Here is a 16,786-nt window from a genome sequence, read left to right as displayed (position 1 = left end):
CTGGTCTCAGCCACCATCTGTCTCATGAAATCCTGAAGTAACCTCCTGTGGCTACCTTTACTGTTGACAGTTAATTCTTCACATTGCTGCCATAGTTTTACTTTTAATATGCCAGATCACATGACTGCTTAAAACGTACGATAGCTTTTCATCTTCCTTGGAGTAAAAGCCAAAGCCTTATCATGGCTTGTAAAATTCTGTGTCTTCTGGCCTGCAGTTAACACCTTTGACTCTACATCCTATTTCTCTCTAATATTCCTCGAACATGCCAAGCAGGCTTCTACTTGGGGACCTTTGCAGTTGCTATTCCCTCTCCCAGTTTCGCTTTCCTCCTAGATAATTACATAATTTGTTCCCATTCTTCTTTTAGGCTCAGCTCAAATGTTACTTTATTAGAGGCTTTCCTTTAGCACTCTGTATACAAAGATTCCCCTTCATTTGCTTTATTTTTCTTCATAGCATGTTCCACCACCTGAGATATTGCTTATTTATTTAGTGTCTGTTTCCTGGTTCCTGGAACATGAACTCCATGAGAGCAGAGAATTTTTGTTTCCTGCAGTTTTTCTAGCTCCTAGCCTAGTACCTGGTATACTATAGGTGCTTAGTAAATATTTATTGAATGAATGAATATATGTGTTTTAATATTTGTAGACAATGTTTTCTCTCACCAGGTACCAGGTCATCAGTACACCATCTGATATTTTCATGGTGATGGAATATGTCTCAGGAGGAGAGCTATTTGATTATATCTGTAAGAATGGAAGGGTAAGCTGTTCTGCTTTAATTCTGTATGTATTTTGTAACTCCCCTTTATCCTTTACTAGCATCAAAATGTCAGCAACCAATTTTAAGAGGTCTATTTAATAACCAGTTCCCTTAGTCATATATTTGTTTAGAATCATAAACTATGTAGAACTAGAAAGGATCTTAAAGATTATCTCCTTAGCCTGTTTATACAGATGTGGATACTGAGCCTCGCGGCTTATATGATTGCTCACAGTAACGTGATTTATTAATGACGGAATTGGCTTGAGCCCCCAGAACTCATAATCCTCAGACTTATGCTTCCAGGGTATACAAATACTTTGAATATGTATCTTAATGTAATTAATCGTTACAAAATATATTATTATTACTTAAAGATCTAGGCCTTGCTAGTCAATTCTAGCCACATTTAAATTGCATTCATTTTTTGGTTTCAGAAATCTGATGTACCTGGAGTAGTAAAAACAGGCTCCACGAAGGAGGTAGGAATTAGATATAAAGAATTTACAGCTGGAAGGAACTTTGTAGGACATTTTGAACACTACCTTAAGTTACAGATACAAAAACTCAACACTGCCCTCTGCCCATACTTTTTCTCATACCCAGGTTATGTGGTATGCAAAAGCCCCTTTGTGGGAGAGCTGTAGCTAGCCCTGAAAAGAGAGCTTTTCTCTCAATTTTAAGTTATTTACATTACTCATTCATTTGTTCTATATAGCATGTCTATTTACTTTTATCAAAATCAAACTTATTAACCAAGTTAATTTTGATTTTACTATTTCTTAACATGATTCATTTCTATTTCAGGTACTCCCCTTTACTCCTGCTTCTCCTTACCAAAAAAAAAAAAAAAAAAAAAATTCTGCCTGGAGAAATGGGAAACAGGCACAATTGATATATATTTTTCTTATCTTTTCTGTTGTTGTTTATTTCTTGGTTTTACCTTGTGGGTATTTCTTCAGTTTTACCAGTTGAATATTAAAATTTCAGCACCCGTATTTTCTATTTCAAAAGTTTCTTATTTTCTGAAATTTTCATTTTTTTAGTCTGCTGTTATTTGCCTCACAGATATAATAACCTAGTCTGAGGATGGCATTTTAAAAAAAGTCTTCCTCTGTTCCGTCTTGTTCTGTACCTTCTGTGCTCTCTGCATTCATTTTATTCATTTTTGTCTTTGATGCATGGCCCTTCTTCAGATATTTGGTGATTCTTGGCTGTCCACTAAATATTTAAGAATAGGGTATTAAATGCCAGGCTCATGTGGGTAGGACTTACTGATTGCTGGGTTTTCTCATAGCTTGAATAGGTAGGGACTTGTCTGTTTTATTACTGTATACCAAATGCTAATAATAACAAATATGTTTTCTTGGATCAGATATTTGCTCCAGAAGAAACCTTCCCATTTCCTTAAAGGCCTTAGCTTAGCTGCCAGTGCTCCAGGAGCTGAGTGGAGAAAAGAGATGCAAGTCTCACTAGTTAGTATGTTGACTTTGTCTTAGCCCCCATGTTTTCCTTAGGATGCCTTATCCCTGCCTTGGTGTCCTTGAGAGCAGAGCTGGTTCAGCCTTACTAGAGTAAATTATAGGTCTTATTCCCCAATATGGGTGAGTTTAAAAGCTTCTTACTTCAAGCACTTGTCCTGTTTTCAGCTCATCTCTCACTTCTACCTTGAGCAGTTCCCTGTGTTTCCAATTTCTAAGGCTTCCCAGGCTTTGTATGCAGATGTTTATTTTTTACTGGTTTCTACCCCTATAGGCTTAGGTTTTAGCTTTCTCTTGTAGGCTTAGTCTTTATTACTGTTTATCTATTGTCATCCTTGGTGACTCCTCTTGATTACTGCTGTCTCTTTTGTTCTTTTTGTCTTTATATGCCTGTTTTATTGCTGATGTCATTTTAGTGATGTTTCAAGAGTTGGAGACAAAAGATTTAATCTGTTACATTTAATTGGAAATGTATTTTGACTTTTCTAACCTTCCTTTATAGACATCCCTTTCTCCATCCTTTGTAATTGTACTTGTTACTAATACAGTATAATTTTCATTTTTGTAGCCTGTCTATTTTACTTTTTATATTTTGTTTAATCAAGTTTTCTCCTATTTTTTCATATTTGAACAGATACTCTTTTTTTTCCCCATGAACCTACAAATCTAGAAATAAAAGTATTAGAATGCTAAAGGATTAGTATTTTTCTAGAGGAATGGTATCTTATAATAGTTTCTTGTTTCAAAATAAATTACTGATTTGTATTTTCTCCCATATTATCCATGCCCTTTAAGGTGTAAGTCTGGTTTTAGAATGCTAATTTGTGACCTGTGTTAGAGAATTGCATATTGGAGTCCTTCGCCTAGAGGATTAATAGCTTATTTATTAAATATGACTTCTTGGGAGCAGGCATGTCCAAGTAATGGCTGTCACTTATGTTGAAAAAAGTGGTAATAATATATGGATACATAGAGAAGTTTAAAAAAAATACTTCAGGCTGCATGCAGTGGCACATGTCTGTAATCTCAGCACTTTGGGATGCTGAAGCGGTAGATTGCCTGAGCTCAGGAGTTCGAGACCAGCCTGGGCAACATGGCAAAGTCCTGTCTCTATCAGAAATACAAAAATTAGTGGGCGTGGTGGCATGTGCCTGTGGTCCCAACTACTTAGGAGGCTGGGGTGGGAGGATTGCGGGACCCCAGGGAAGCCGAGGCTGCAGTGAGCCGTGATGGCATCACTGCACTCCAGCCTGGATGACAGAACGAGACTGGATCTCAAAATATAGATAAATTTAAAACCCCGCCCCCCCAAAAAAACACAAAAAACAAAAATGAAAAGGTAGTTGCTATGTAAGATTTTTTTTTTAGCAAGCATATTAAAGATAAAATGCTATGATATTTTATTAAATGAATTAAGGTGTTTGTTGTTAAAATGTCTTCTATTTTAGGACATATAGCAACATAGTTGCTTGCTGGTTTATGAATAGTGCTTAAATATTACTTCCTCATGGTCTAAAATAGTGTCCCTCACCCCACTATCACTCACTGCACCTATATTTTGCTTTATTTTTCTTCAAAACAGTATCACTCCTTCTGACTATATTTATTAGTCTATTTTCATCAACTAGATTAGCCTTTGTTTTATTCATTGCTGTGTAATGAGTGTCTAAAGCAATGTGTAGCACGTTGAAGGTATTCAGTAATTTGTTAAAAGAATGAAAGAGTAAACATTTGCCGCTTATAAAAGGAAATATGCCAAATTTCAAGTAGATATTGAAATTATTTGAAATAACTCATGAGATATAGAGGAAGGCAAGCTGTTACAATGTAGTCATATGCAAATGATAATATTAGAAACTTGAGTTACTGATTTGGGTTCCAAGACCATCTTAGCATTTCTGTTTTGTGCTGCAGGTATCTCCTCCTCATGTCAAAAGTATCTCATAAGTGAAGTTCATTGGGAAGATTTTCATGTATTTTGACAATTTTATAGGTTGGAGAATTATAGATAGGACAATTTACTTTGAAAGACACACCTTTAAAAAGCCTCTCTAACTTTTCTTAGCTGGATGAAAAAGAAAGTCGGCGTCTGTTCCAACAGATCCTTTCTGGTGTGGATTATTGTCACAGGCATATGGTGGTCCATAGAGATTTGAAACCTGAAAATGTCCTGCTTGATGCACACATGAATGCAAAGATAGCTGATTTTGGTAAGGATAATTTTATAGTTTCTTAACGTTCATTTCTAATGTTCTTATAGTTTCAATGAACCTACCTAGAATTCTTCAGATAACTGTAAAAGATTACATAAAGTAATAGACTGAGTATATCAAAGTATTCTGTTTTGTCTATGAAGATACAAAAAGAAGAAAAGCTAAGAAATCATCTTTTCTTAGCTTTAAATGTCTTTATTACTATTATTTTATAGAGGCAGGGTTTCGCTTTGTCGCCCAGGCTGGAGGGCAGCGACGTGATCATAGCTCACTGCATCCCCAAACTACTGGGCCAGGTGACCCTCCTGCCTCAGCCTCCTGAGTAGCTGGGACTGCAGGCGTGCACTACCATGCCAGGCTGTTTTGTCTTTTTGTAGAGACAAGTTCTCACTATGTTGTCCAGGCTGCTCTTGAACTCCTGGCCTCAAGTGATCTTCCTACCACAGCTTCCCAAAGTATTGGGATTACAGGTGTGCACCACTGCACCTGGCTCTTTAAATATCTTTAAAATTAAATTTTAAACAACTTAAGTTGGTAGTATTAGAGAGACTATTTGAAAAGAGTATTATTTGTGAAAGAGAAGGTAGCAGCTTTATTTCCAGTATGTTCAAAAGAATCAAGTATGGAGAAGAAGGAAAGTGAGTGGGATGGAATTATTTAAAACCTTAAAAACCAGAAGTGAACTATGTGAATTTAATTATTTAAAATTATTTAAAACAATTTTTTAATTAAAAAAATTTATTTAAAAATTTAAAAATGTTTTAAATGATAGTAAATTATAATTTGTTTAAAGAACATTTTGATTGTTAAAAATGAATTTATTTTGGCTGGGCGTGGTGGCTTATACCTGTAATCCCAGCATTTTGGGAGGCCGAGGCGGGCGGATCACCTGAGGTCAGGAGTTCGAGCCCAGCCTGGCCAACATGGTGAAAACCCATCTCTACTAAAAATACAAAATTAGCTGGGCATGGTGGTGCGTGCCTATAGTCCCCACTACCCTGGAGGCTGAGGCAGGAGAATTGCTGGAACCCAGGAGGTGGAGGTTGTAGTGAGTTGAGATCGCCTGTCCGGCCTGGGCGACGGAGTGAGACACGGTCTCAAAAAAAAAAAAAAAAAAAAAGAATTTATTTTTTCTGTATTTCCTATATAAATTGCCATTGACCTTACTAAACCTAAGAGAAAAAGGAATCTCTTCTTTTCTTTAGGTTGGTTTTAGTTCAAATCAGATAACTTTTTTTTGTTTGTTTTTTGTTTTGAGACAGAGTTTCACTCTGTCACCCAGGCTGGAGTGGTACGATCTCGGCTCACTGCAACCTCTGCCTTCCAGGCTCAAGTAATTCTCCCACCTTGGCCTCCCAAGTAGCTGGGACCACAGATGTGGGCCACCACATGCAGCTATGTTTTTTTTAATTTTTGGTGGAGATGGGGAATCACTATGTTGGCCAGGCCGGACTCGAACTCCTGAGCTGAAGTGATCCGCCTGTCTTGGCCTCCCAAAGTGCTGGGATTACAGGCGTGAGCCACCATGTCTGGCCCAGAGAACATTCTTATAAAAATTTTCCTCAGTTTTGACTACATCTATGTATCTATATCTATAACTATATCTATTTAAATGTTCAGAGATTAACTGGAAAATGCCAACCAAACCTGAGCTGGTTGTTTTGGTGTTTTGTTTTTTTTTAAAATAGTAATTGGCTAAATTATTTGAATTTCTTATTCCTCAGTTGATTATTTTTATAGGGTGCATTTTTGAGGGAGCAACAGTTTCTTTTTGGAGTAAAACTGTGAGGGAACTTTGAAATTCAAAATTACTGTTTTTTTTTTTTTTTTTTTTTTTAAAGAATCAGAACAGGCTTAATAGGAACTTTGAATTTTAATCCTTCTATTCATCTGTTATAGATTATTTTCCCTAGTGATTTCTGTATTAATAAAACTTAAACATGGCAAGTTTTTTCTAATAAGCAAAATAACCAACAGCTTAATATATTTGTATTAAACTCTAACAGTGCACTAACTTTAAATGTTGAAATAGATTACACATTTTAGGGCATAATGGCAGAATATTTGGCTACAATAGACCATAGGATTTTGTTGAAGCAAATAACAAAATGATGATTTATCATTTTAATGCAAACTCAATTTTATTGTTTAATGGGATTTTAATTTTTGTCTTTGGGAAATCTTTTGAGTAGCTGATTTTGTGCACTTTCAGGTCTTTCAAACATGATGTCAGATGGTGAATTTTTAAGAACAAGTTGTGGCTCACCCAACTATGCTGCACCAGAAGTAATTTCAGGAAGGTAGTATTTGATACCCTGCCTCCCTCAATACATTTGAAATTGTCTTTTTCTCCTAGATTTTGTTAGTCTATAGTGTCATATTTAATTCTAATGAAAGGAAAGAAAGATAAGGCTTATTCTTAACCACATTTATATGTGAATGAGGGTTAAGGACTACAAGTCAACATTATATTAAAGTTGTTAGAAGAGAGTACATTAATTTTTTTCCCAGGTGGAAGAAATGGAAAGTTTAAAACTAGGGTGTTTAAAAAGTAGGTAAGACACTGGAAACTTGAATAATACAGAAATATCTAGTAGTTAGAAAAGGATTACTATTTACTTAGAGGAAAAATTAAACATGTAATGTGTAGCTTTAATTTTTTACATAGATGGCATTTTGTAGTACCTTTATGTTTCATGATAAAATGTCTTGGGGAACTGGGCTGAAGTAATCTTTAGACTTCATTTATGTTGAATCTTTGTTCTTTAAACCTTTTAGAGACTGCAATATTATAAGAATTTTAACCTCTCAATTTACTAACTACCAGCATTGAGAACATGAAGATATTTGTACAGTGTCGCTTTTTGAATAGTTTGGAAAACAGGAGAATTTAATATTTTTAAGAATAACTCTTTGTCCTTCACTATACTACTGAAATTGAAAACAGAAGCTGAAGTTTGCTAGATTTATAATGAACTTTTAATAACTTTTCACCCAAACCATGCTTATTTGTGTGAATGTTTTGCATCTTGATTAACTCAATGCAGAAATACTGTAGTATTTTCTATTTTTATAAGCTTGTTGGCCTAGACTGCTCAAAGAAATGAGATTTGTGTAAAAATATGGCTGTGAGTAAGGCAGGAGTACCTAATTTTAGATTTGTCAAGTTTCATCTTTTTTTTAAATATTAACTTAATGTCAAAAATTATTTAAAAAATTTTTAAAAAAATGGTGTTGTCTATCTTAATTCTTTTAGGAATAAAACAATTCAGGACATGGAGACTGTGGAAAGTTGTTATTTAAATAAATAAAAAGAAATGTTATAACTGTGCATATATGCAATGGGCTATTACTGAAATTTAATTTTTCTAGTTTGGATAAAGTCTTTCTTCAAGCTCTTGGTGTATGAGAACTTTTACTTTCAAAATAATATTTATCGATCAGTTCAGCAGTACATAAATTTAAAGAAATCCTTTTCCTGAATCCAGGCTTTGAATGGGTGATCTAACTAGTCTGCAGCTAGTTAAGGCACTTGACTACAATGCACTGCAAACGGGATTTAAAAACTCTGTGAACCAATTTGCCTGGCTTTCTTTCACAGCCTCAGGATCCTTTCACCTTGGTGTAAGGGGTCTTGTGTTATTGGGATTGTGGGCTCAGAGTCCATTACTAAAGAACATTCTCAGTTGATGAAATATCACTTAATCTCTCCTCTGTAACAAAAACCAATGGTTTTAAATTGAATAGTGATATGTTTGTTCAAGATTTGGCCCTATTGTCAGATCCCATCAGGGCCATAGTAAATAGTAGAACAGAATTTTAGCCATGGTGTGTAATTTACAAACTTCTTGACTTTTGTTTTCAAAGATAATACTGATGGAATTAACGTTGTAACATGTAGTAGTGGCTATAAAAACCATATTCTGCTTAAGAATTCTTTATGAAATATCCATATTTGAAGTTTTTGATGAACTGAATCTTAGGTTAAAATGATTCTTTAATCCAATTGTTATTTCCTGTTACAGATTGTATGCAGGCCCAGAGGTAGATATATGGAGCAGTGGGGTTATTCTCTATGCTTTATTATGTGGAACCCTTCCATTTGATGATGACCATGTGCCAACTCTTTTTAAGAAGATATGTGATGGGATCTTCTATACCCCTCAATATTTAAATCCTTCTGTGATTAGCCTTTTGAAACATATGCTGCAGGTGGATCCCATGAAGAGGGCCACAATCAAAGATATCAGGTAATAAAGCAGTTTGGAAGTTATCAGATCTGATAGTATCCATGATAAAAGTTATGTGAAAAAAAAAAAGTTGCAGAACAGAATATACAGTGTAATCCTGTTTTTATGTGAAAAAAATAGAGTGTATAGACACATTTATTTTATTTTGTTATTAGAAATACATAGTAAACTGGTTACCTTAGGGAAGTAAGATTCGTAAGAGGGAGGGCTTTCACTTTTTACTTACACATCTTTGTTTTGAAATTTTTACAGTGAACATCATATTACTTTTTAAATTAACAAAAAAGCTAATGAAAGATTGGTGCTGTGGCTCACACCTGTAATTCCAGCACTTTGGGAAGCTGAGGAAAGAGGATCATGTGAGCTCAGGAGTTTGAGACCAGCCTGGGTAACATAGCGAGGCCCCATATATATGTATATCTTTTATTTTTATTTATTTATTTTTTTTGAGACAAGGTTTTGCTCTGTCACCCAGCCTGGAGTGCAGTGGTGTGATCATAGCTCACTGTAGCCAGTAACTCCTGGGTCAAGTGATCCTCCCACTTTAGCCTCCCTAGTAGTTGAGACTACAGGCATCCACCATCATGCCTGGCTGTTTTTTGTTGTTATTGTTTTGCTTTTTGTTTTTGTTTGTAGTGACAGGTCTTGCTATTTTTGCCCAGGCTGGTCTTGAACTCCTGGCCTCAAGTGATCCTTGTGCCTTTCCCTCCCAGTGTTGGGATTACAGGTGTGAGCCAGTATGCCTGGCGTTAGGATTAATACTTTTCAGTAGTAAATTTGTGGGTGGCTATTTTATTTCTTATCTCATGAATTATTGTATTTTTTTTCTTTTTTTAATCCCAAGGAATGAGATTTAATTGACATGTTTTTCCTGGTAGTATACATTGAATTACATGCAAAATTCCTGTTTTGTAGGTAAAAGTCAGTATAACCAGTTTCATCTGGTTCAACCTAATAGTTTAAATTAGACAAAAATGACGATGACAAATTTTCTTCTCAAATTAGAGTGAGCCATTTCTGATGAAGACTTAAACAATTTTATTGCAAGCCTTGTTTCTTTTTTTTCCCCCCTGTGGAAATTTTGGTCCTTTTGGTCTTCTAATGGCTAGACTGCACATTTATCTGAGAAGGAAGAAAGAAATCAGATATGGATCTAGGAATAGTAAATATGAAAGCATTAGTATAATGAAGAAGAAGGAAAGATTATATGTGGAACTTGAAGCTTGATTACTTTCCACTTACTACACGTTTTAGACTAGCTAAAAAAGAGACCATGAATGGCACGGCATGATTTTATCACCAAAGGGAAAGGACAAATCATTCTCTAAAATTTATATTTTAAGATATCTAGGTAAGAAATGTTTTTGTTTGTATTTTACCTATTTTCTTCCAATTAAAATATAATACATGACAATTGAAAAAACTTAGAAAAACACCAACAATAGAGAAGAGAATAAAAAATTATCTTTAATCCCATGACCCAGAAGATAACCATTGTTCTTTTCTTGTTTTTTTTTTCGTCTCTGGATTTTATTTAGTTTTAGCAAAGTGACATAGTTCAGGTCAAACATATTCTTAAATATACGAAGTTAGGGAATTAGAATAGGAAATCATTCAGGGCATGGCCTTTCCAGTCACACAGAACTGGGTCATAATCCTGGTTCTGTCACTTACTGTCTTTGTGACCTTGAGCATGTTCCTTGATTTTTTTTTTAACCTCAATTCCTTCATTTAAAACAAAGAGATATTATCTTCATATAATTGTTTCGATGATGAGGGGAGATAGTGTATATGAAGTGTTTAGCATAAAACTTAGCATATAGTAAGTACTCAGTAGTTGTCTACTATTTTTCTTGTTGTTACATTATCTTCACTTAACATTATATCAAAAGAGTATTATAATGAAGCTACCTAATATGTTCTCTTTCTAAGCTGGAAATAAGCTGTTCTTTTCATTGTTTGTCGCTGTCATTTGTCCCATAACTTTTTTCCCCCCATTGCTGTGTCAATACATTCTCCCTCTTAAAACTGGAGGGAAATTGGAGCATTTCCCTCAACATACACAATGAAGTGCGAGCTAGAAGAGGAAAATTTCAGTGCAAAAAGTGACAATAATACAGTATGAATATAAATATAAATTAAGTCATATTCTAAATTCCCTAAACTGTTACTTTCAGTCTCAGCTCTATTCAAAGTCCTTCTCCTGATCCTGCCATTTTTCTCTCAGGGAACATGAATGGTTTAAACAGGACCTTCCAAAATATCTCTTTCCTGAGGATCCATCATATAGTTCAACCATGATTGATGATGAAGCCTTAAAAGAAGTATGTGAAAAGTTTGAGTGCTCAGAAGAGGAAGTTCTCAGCTGTCTTTACAACAGAAATCACCAGGATCCTTTGGCAGTTGCCTACCATCTCATAATAGATAACAGGAGAATAATGAATGAAGCCAAAGATTTCTATTTGGCGACAAGCCCACCTGATTCTTTTCTTGATGATCATCACCTGACTCGGCCCCATCCTGAAAGAGTACCATTCTTGGTTGCTGAAACACCAAGGGCACGCCATACCCTTGATGAATTAAATCCACAGAAATCCAAACACCAAGGTGTAAGGAAAGCAAAATGGCATTTAGGAATTAGAAGTCAAAGTCGACCAAATGATATTATGGCAGAAGTATGTAGAGCAATCAAACAATTGGATTATGAATGGAAGGTAAGAAAGAAATAACATTTTGATTATTAGCATATTTGGCAAACCCATAGTCTATAAAATGTTTTATAGAAGAATTACTTTTGACTTGGTTTTTGTTATACCATGTGCTAGGTTGTAAACCCATATTATTTGCGTGTACGAAGGAAGAATCCTGTGACAAGCACTTACTCCAAAATGAGTCTACAGTTATACCAAGTGGATAGTAGAACTTATCTACTGGATTTCCGTAGTATTGATGGTATGTACATCACACAAAACAACATAGATTAGACCTTGTTACTAACTTGGTATTTTACGCCTTGATTCTTTTGAGGCTTCTTGACTTGTTCCTAGTAATTCAACTGCAAAGGAATAAAAAATGTGATTTCTTGTGCCTTTGCAATATTAACATTTATGAATCTTATTTTTCTTGTAATCTTATAGCATATTGTCCTTTTAAGATTATCATCTTGTAAAATCCTTAAAGCCAGGTGTAGTCTGATCCTAAGGTGATAGTTTTCTGCTGCATTTGTTTTTTTGGTGTAGTTCATTTTGATAAGAGACAATGTTTTATTTAGAAATAAATATTGACTCTTCTGTAAGCTTTTATTTATTATTAAATAAGTTTTCAGTTAAGAATGAAGTTATGGCAATTCTTCATTGGCCAATTCAATTGCATTAAGCTACGCTGTTGAGTGCAGGTGTGGTGGCTTATGCCTGTAAACAGCCCAGCACTTTGGGAGGCTGAGGTGGGAGGATGGCTTGAGCCCAGGAATTTGAGACCAGCCTTAGCAACATACTGAGACTCTGTCTTTACAAAATATTAAAATATATATATATAGTATCACCTTTGCTTATGGAAGGTTGCATAGAATTATTAGATGAGGTTCACGTTTGAATTTTTTTCTTCTTTATAAACTCAAAGATAGTACACACATAGTAGCAGAAAGACACAGGTTTGAGCCATGATATGTTGGCCAAACCAGTTTGTCTGGTTATCTTTAGGTCCATATAGTACGTATCTGCTAACATATACTAATGCAGTCTGAAATACGGAATGAGTTTTATTTTTCTTGTATTTGGATCAAATTTGCAACCTTAGATTTACTAGTACTGGGGTATACCAATTGAATGCCCATTTTGTTTTTGTACTGTGTTCCCAACCTTAGTTTTTCTTCGATTTTTATTCATTGGAATTGTTGCTCTTTTATGAAATACTAAATGAAATATGAAGGGAAAGTGGAAAGTAAAAAGCACTGAGCTGAGACTTAGGAGAGTTGGGTTCTAGACTTACCTTTCTGTTCATTTGTTACCTTGGGCAAGTCATTTCTCTGGGTTTGTTTTCTTATCAATAAAGTGAGGGGCTGGATGAGATGGTTTCCAGTATACCCTCCAAATTTTAAGTGCATCGATTCTATGATTTTAATATAGAGGGATTACTTTTTATTGCTATAGAATAATATTTATTAATCCCTAGATTGTTGGTTTACTGGGCTCTTAACCTTGGATTGCAACTGATGAGTAGCTATACTGTACCCAACTTTGGTTAGCTATCTTGAGAATACATACTATATGTAAAAAAGATGAATAGTTTAATACAGGCTCATTGACTGTTTTAGAAGGTATTTAGAATAAGCGTGCTCTTGATAGCTGGCCAGCAGCCCCACTTAAAGAAGCAAATTCAATACTGTTACAAAAATTTTTGGGAGAAGGTCATAGACTATAATAAATTGAAATTCTTTTTACCCAGATGAAATTACAGAAGCCAAATCAGGGACTGCTACTCCACAGAGATCGGGATCAGTTAGCAACTATCGATCTTGCCAAAGGAGTGATTCAGATGCTGAGGCTCAAGGAAAATCCTCAGAAGTTTCTCTTACCTCATCTGTGACCTCACTTGACTCTTCTCCTGTTGACCTAACTCCAAGACCTGGAAGTCACACAATAGAATTTTTTGAGATGTGTGCAAATCTAATTAAAATTCTTGCACAATAAACAGAAAACTTTGCTTATTTCTTTTGCAGCAATAAGCATGCATAATAAGTCACAGCCAAATGCTTCCATTTGTAATCAAGTTATACATAATTATAACCGAGGGCTGGCGTTTTGGAATGCAATTTGCACAGGGATTGGAACATGATTTATAGTTAAAAGCCTAATATGCAGAAATGAATTAAGATCATTTTGTTGTTCATTGTGCAGTATGTATATAGCATAATATACACAGTGAATTATAGGTCTCAGGCTTACTTGATTTTTGGCTATTTTATATTTAGTGTACACAGGGCTTTGAAATATTAATTTACATAAAGGCCTTCATATATTATTACGTGTTATATATTACGTGTTATAAATTTATTCAATAAATATTTGCCTAGAATTCCCAAGACCTTTATAGGTGATTTTGTTTTCTGGGCTCCTTAACTTCATAAATAGCTAGTATCTTCCAGCAGTAGTAACAGTCTGGATAACTTCTTCCATATCCCTCCCTCTTTGTTTTTTTGAGACAGTGTCACTTTGTCACCCAGGCTGGAGTGCAATGGTGTGGTCTCGGCTCACTGCAACCTCCACCTCCCGGGTTCAAGTGATTCTCCCGCCTCAGCTTCCTGAGTAGCTGGAACTACAGGCGTGTGCCACCACACCCGGCTAATTTTTCGTATTTTTAGTGTAGACGGGGTTTCACTATGTTGCCCAGGCTGGTCTCGAACTCCTGACCGCGTGATCCACCACCTCAGCTTCCCAAAGTGGTGGGATTACAGGCGTGAGCCACCGCACCCGGCCTCCATATCCCCCTTTTAAAATTCTGTAGTGTATGGTAAGTCATATCAGATATCAGACCTAATTTAAATTTCATTTTAGCTTTACAAGTCCAAAAACACAGAATTTATATATTCAGATACTCTAGCACTAATTTTAGTCTTAAAATATTCCCACGATATTCTGTACACAAAATGTTCTTTTTGTTACAAGAGCTGAGTTGCATATACTGTAGATAAATCATATTATTTTTGCCAATTTCACAAATTCCTCTGGCCCATCATGTCAGTCATTATTGAGTATATGCACACATTGCTACTTATTTGATTATGTATCTTTTAAATTGATTCAGTGCATAGAAAACTATCTCTTACAAACTTTAAGTGCTCTGATATGACTTCCCCCCCAAATTTTATTATGAACATTTTTAAAAACAGAAAAATTGAAAAACTGTTTGGTAAGCACATGTATATCTACCATTTAGATTCAGCAGTTGTTAATGTTTTGTCATTTGTTTTCTCTATACCTATATATGTATAGATACAGCTAGTTATGCATATATATGCATATATGTGTTTGTTTGTGTATGTATATATGCTTTTTTCCCCCTGAACCATTTGGATGTTACAGACATACTTATCACCGTGAAAATACTTCAAGTATCTCCTACAGATAATGACATTCTCCTAAAAATCCGTAATACCATTGTAAAAGTAATAATTCCCCAATATCATCTAATCAAGCCATATTTAAATTTCTGAAGTTAACTCCAAATTTCTTTATAGCTGATTATTTCAAACTAGGATCCAATTAAAGTTTACATATGACACTTGGTTATAACTCTTTAGTTGGATATAACATTATTATTATTTTGATAAAATATGGAACAAATCAATTCTATTAATAAGTGGTCACATTTGTTTTGGGCTTAAATTACTTTTTAAAGATACTGGATTTTCCTAAGATTTCTGATTTACACTGATATTTTTTTTTGTCATTCTTAATTGCATCACACAATAGATGTAAATGAAGATGTAGTCACCTCAGATAAAATTGGTATCGTGTATGATAATATTGTATCATTTATATTTGCCTTATGTTAACTTTAAGAAATTGATTTTTTTGTATTAATCATTTTCCCATTGCAACAGAGCTATATTTTTTCTATTTTAAGAATCATATTTTAGGATTATTTTTGGCAAATACAGTGAGCACTTATGTAACCAGATGATAATGAACTCAAATGTCATGATAGCTTGCATAAATGGTGACTCTAGTAGATTTGACTCAAGCACTTCTAGAATCATGCACTGAATTCAAAAGAAAAATCTTGCTGCTTTTTGTCCAGGGCTTGTTCTATTCAACTTCTAATTTGAAAGCTGTACAAAGTAATAGAAGTTCCATTTAAATATGAGTTCAAAACTGTATTTACTTTTTATGTGGCCCTCTCTTTAGGGGATTCTAATTTTACTTAGGGTCTCTAAGTGCAGCATAATGTTCCTGATGTTAACAGAAGACTGTATTTTTAAAGTTACAAATTTGTATATGGAATTAAGTAATGGCGCTATATACGCTGTTGTGGGGAGGGGGGAAGAAAAGGAGGAACCAATTAAATAGGACCTTTTAAAAATTGTTAATTTTGTAAACTTTGCTTCTCTTATAAGTTATTGTGATTCATTTTAGTTACTGTGTTTTATTTTGAAAATATTTAAATATTGCACTTCTATAAATAGTATGATAAATGCACAGACAATTGCAGTAAATTCTTTTTTAAGCTAGGATATTTGAAATGACAACCTTTGGTTAAGTGTGTCAAGGTTGCAACAGAATTTTCACAATTTTTTTGTTGTTTGCAAATTGTTACTAATATTGAAGAGGTAAGGGAGGCAATGCAAATGATTTTTAATCTTTTTTTATTATCTTTTCAGCAGTTTATATTTTTTGTGACTTTATGCAACCATATTTTTACTTTGTCTTGACAACTGAAAGATGTATAAGGTTTTTTGCCAGAAATGTACTGTATACATAGTTTTAAGTATAACAGATTTTACTGATATGTAAAAATTTTGCCATTAAAATAAATGATTTCTCACTGAGAGGAACTTTTCTACCAGGTTGGGGCATATGGGAGCTTAATATATCATATCTAATTTAAAATAATTTCACTGAAATAAACTCCATTGCTTTTACCTAATTTTTTTCTTGAGATGCTTTTGTAGTTTTTCAGAGTTTTAGATGATTTTATACAAAATCCTCTGCCTAGCACTGCTCTTTTTGATGTTGTAGTGACACCATTTACATTGAATTAATGCTTGGTAGCCTGGGGCTAGATGTGGAACTCCATGGATCTGTGTTCTGACTGGCACCTTTGGAATGAAAGAAAAGTGTGTGCTGTCCAAATTTTTTCCCCTTAATTCTTTCCCTCATCTTCTCACCCATAATAGAAATTTTATTTCCATTGTGAGTTCTGACAAGAATGAAATTCCACATACAACATAACTGTAAATTGTTGGTAGGTAGAAGTTAATATTTGTGGTTCATGTATATTTTGACCAGAGTATATTTAAGTATATAATTTCAGCTTCCTTGATTTAGAAATATGATATAATAAAGAAAAACTCCATTTA

General features: G+C 34.4%; 1 protein-coding gene and 1 long non-coding RNA gene across 11 annotated transcripts in view; one reads left to right on the top strand and one right to left on the bottom strand.

The window, feature by feature from the left end:
• Window positions 1-13,158, bottom strand: part of LOC124900968 (uncharacterized) — a 27,017-nt gene extending 13,859 nt beyond the window's left edge. For both annotated transcript variants that reach the window (XR_007058747.1, XR_007058746.1), the window contains exon 1: window positions 11,708-13,158. This is a non-coding gene — a long non-coding RNA (uncharacterized LOC124900968). The remainder of the gene's footprint in view (window positions 1-11,707) is intronic.
• PRKAA1 (protein kinase AMP-activated catalytic subunit alpha 1) overlaps window positions 1-16,786 on the top strand; it is a 38,986-nt gene extending 22,200 nt beyond the window's left edge. For 2 of the 9 annotated variants that reach the window (NM_206907.4, XM_017009624.2), the window contains exons 3-10: window positions 672-765; window positions 1,203-1,247; window positions 4,312-4,456; window positions 6,672-6,759; window positions 8,485-8,709; window positions 10,937-11,423; window positions 11,535-11,661; window positions 13,153-16,786. In NM_206907.4, coding sequence (NP_996790.3) covers window positions 672-765; window positions 1,203-1,247; window positions 4,312-4,456; window positions 6,672-6,759; window positions 8,485-8,709; window positions 10,937-11,423; window positions 11,535-11,661; window positions 13,153-13,397 — 1,456 coding nt within the window. In that variant the 3' untranslated portion in view covers window positions 13,398-16,786. Of the gene's footprint in view, window positions 1-671; window positions 766-1,202; window positions 1,248-4,311; window positions 4,457-6,671; window positions 6,760-7,237; window positions 7,740-8,484; window positions 8,710-10,936; window positions 11,424-11,534; window positions 11,662-13,152 lie in introns of those variants that run through there. The other 7 variants (NM_006251.6, NM_001355028.2, NM_001355036.2 and 4 more) reach the window with 5 other exon arrangements.

The sequence above is a fragment of the Homo sapiens genome, chromosome 5, assembly GCF_000001405.40.
Source record: "Homo sapiens chromosome 5, GRCh38.p14 Primary Assembly".
NCBI lineage: Eukaryota > Metazoa > Chordata > Mammalia > Primates > Hominidae > Homo > Homo sapiens.
This window is presented reverse-complemented; position numbering and strand designations above follow the sequence as displayed.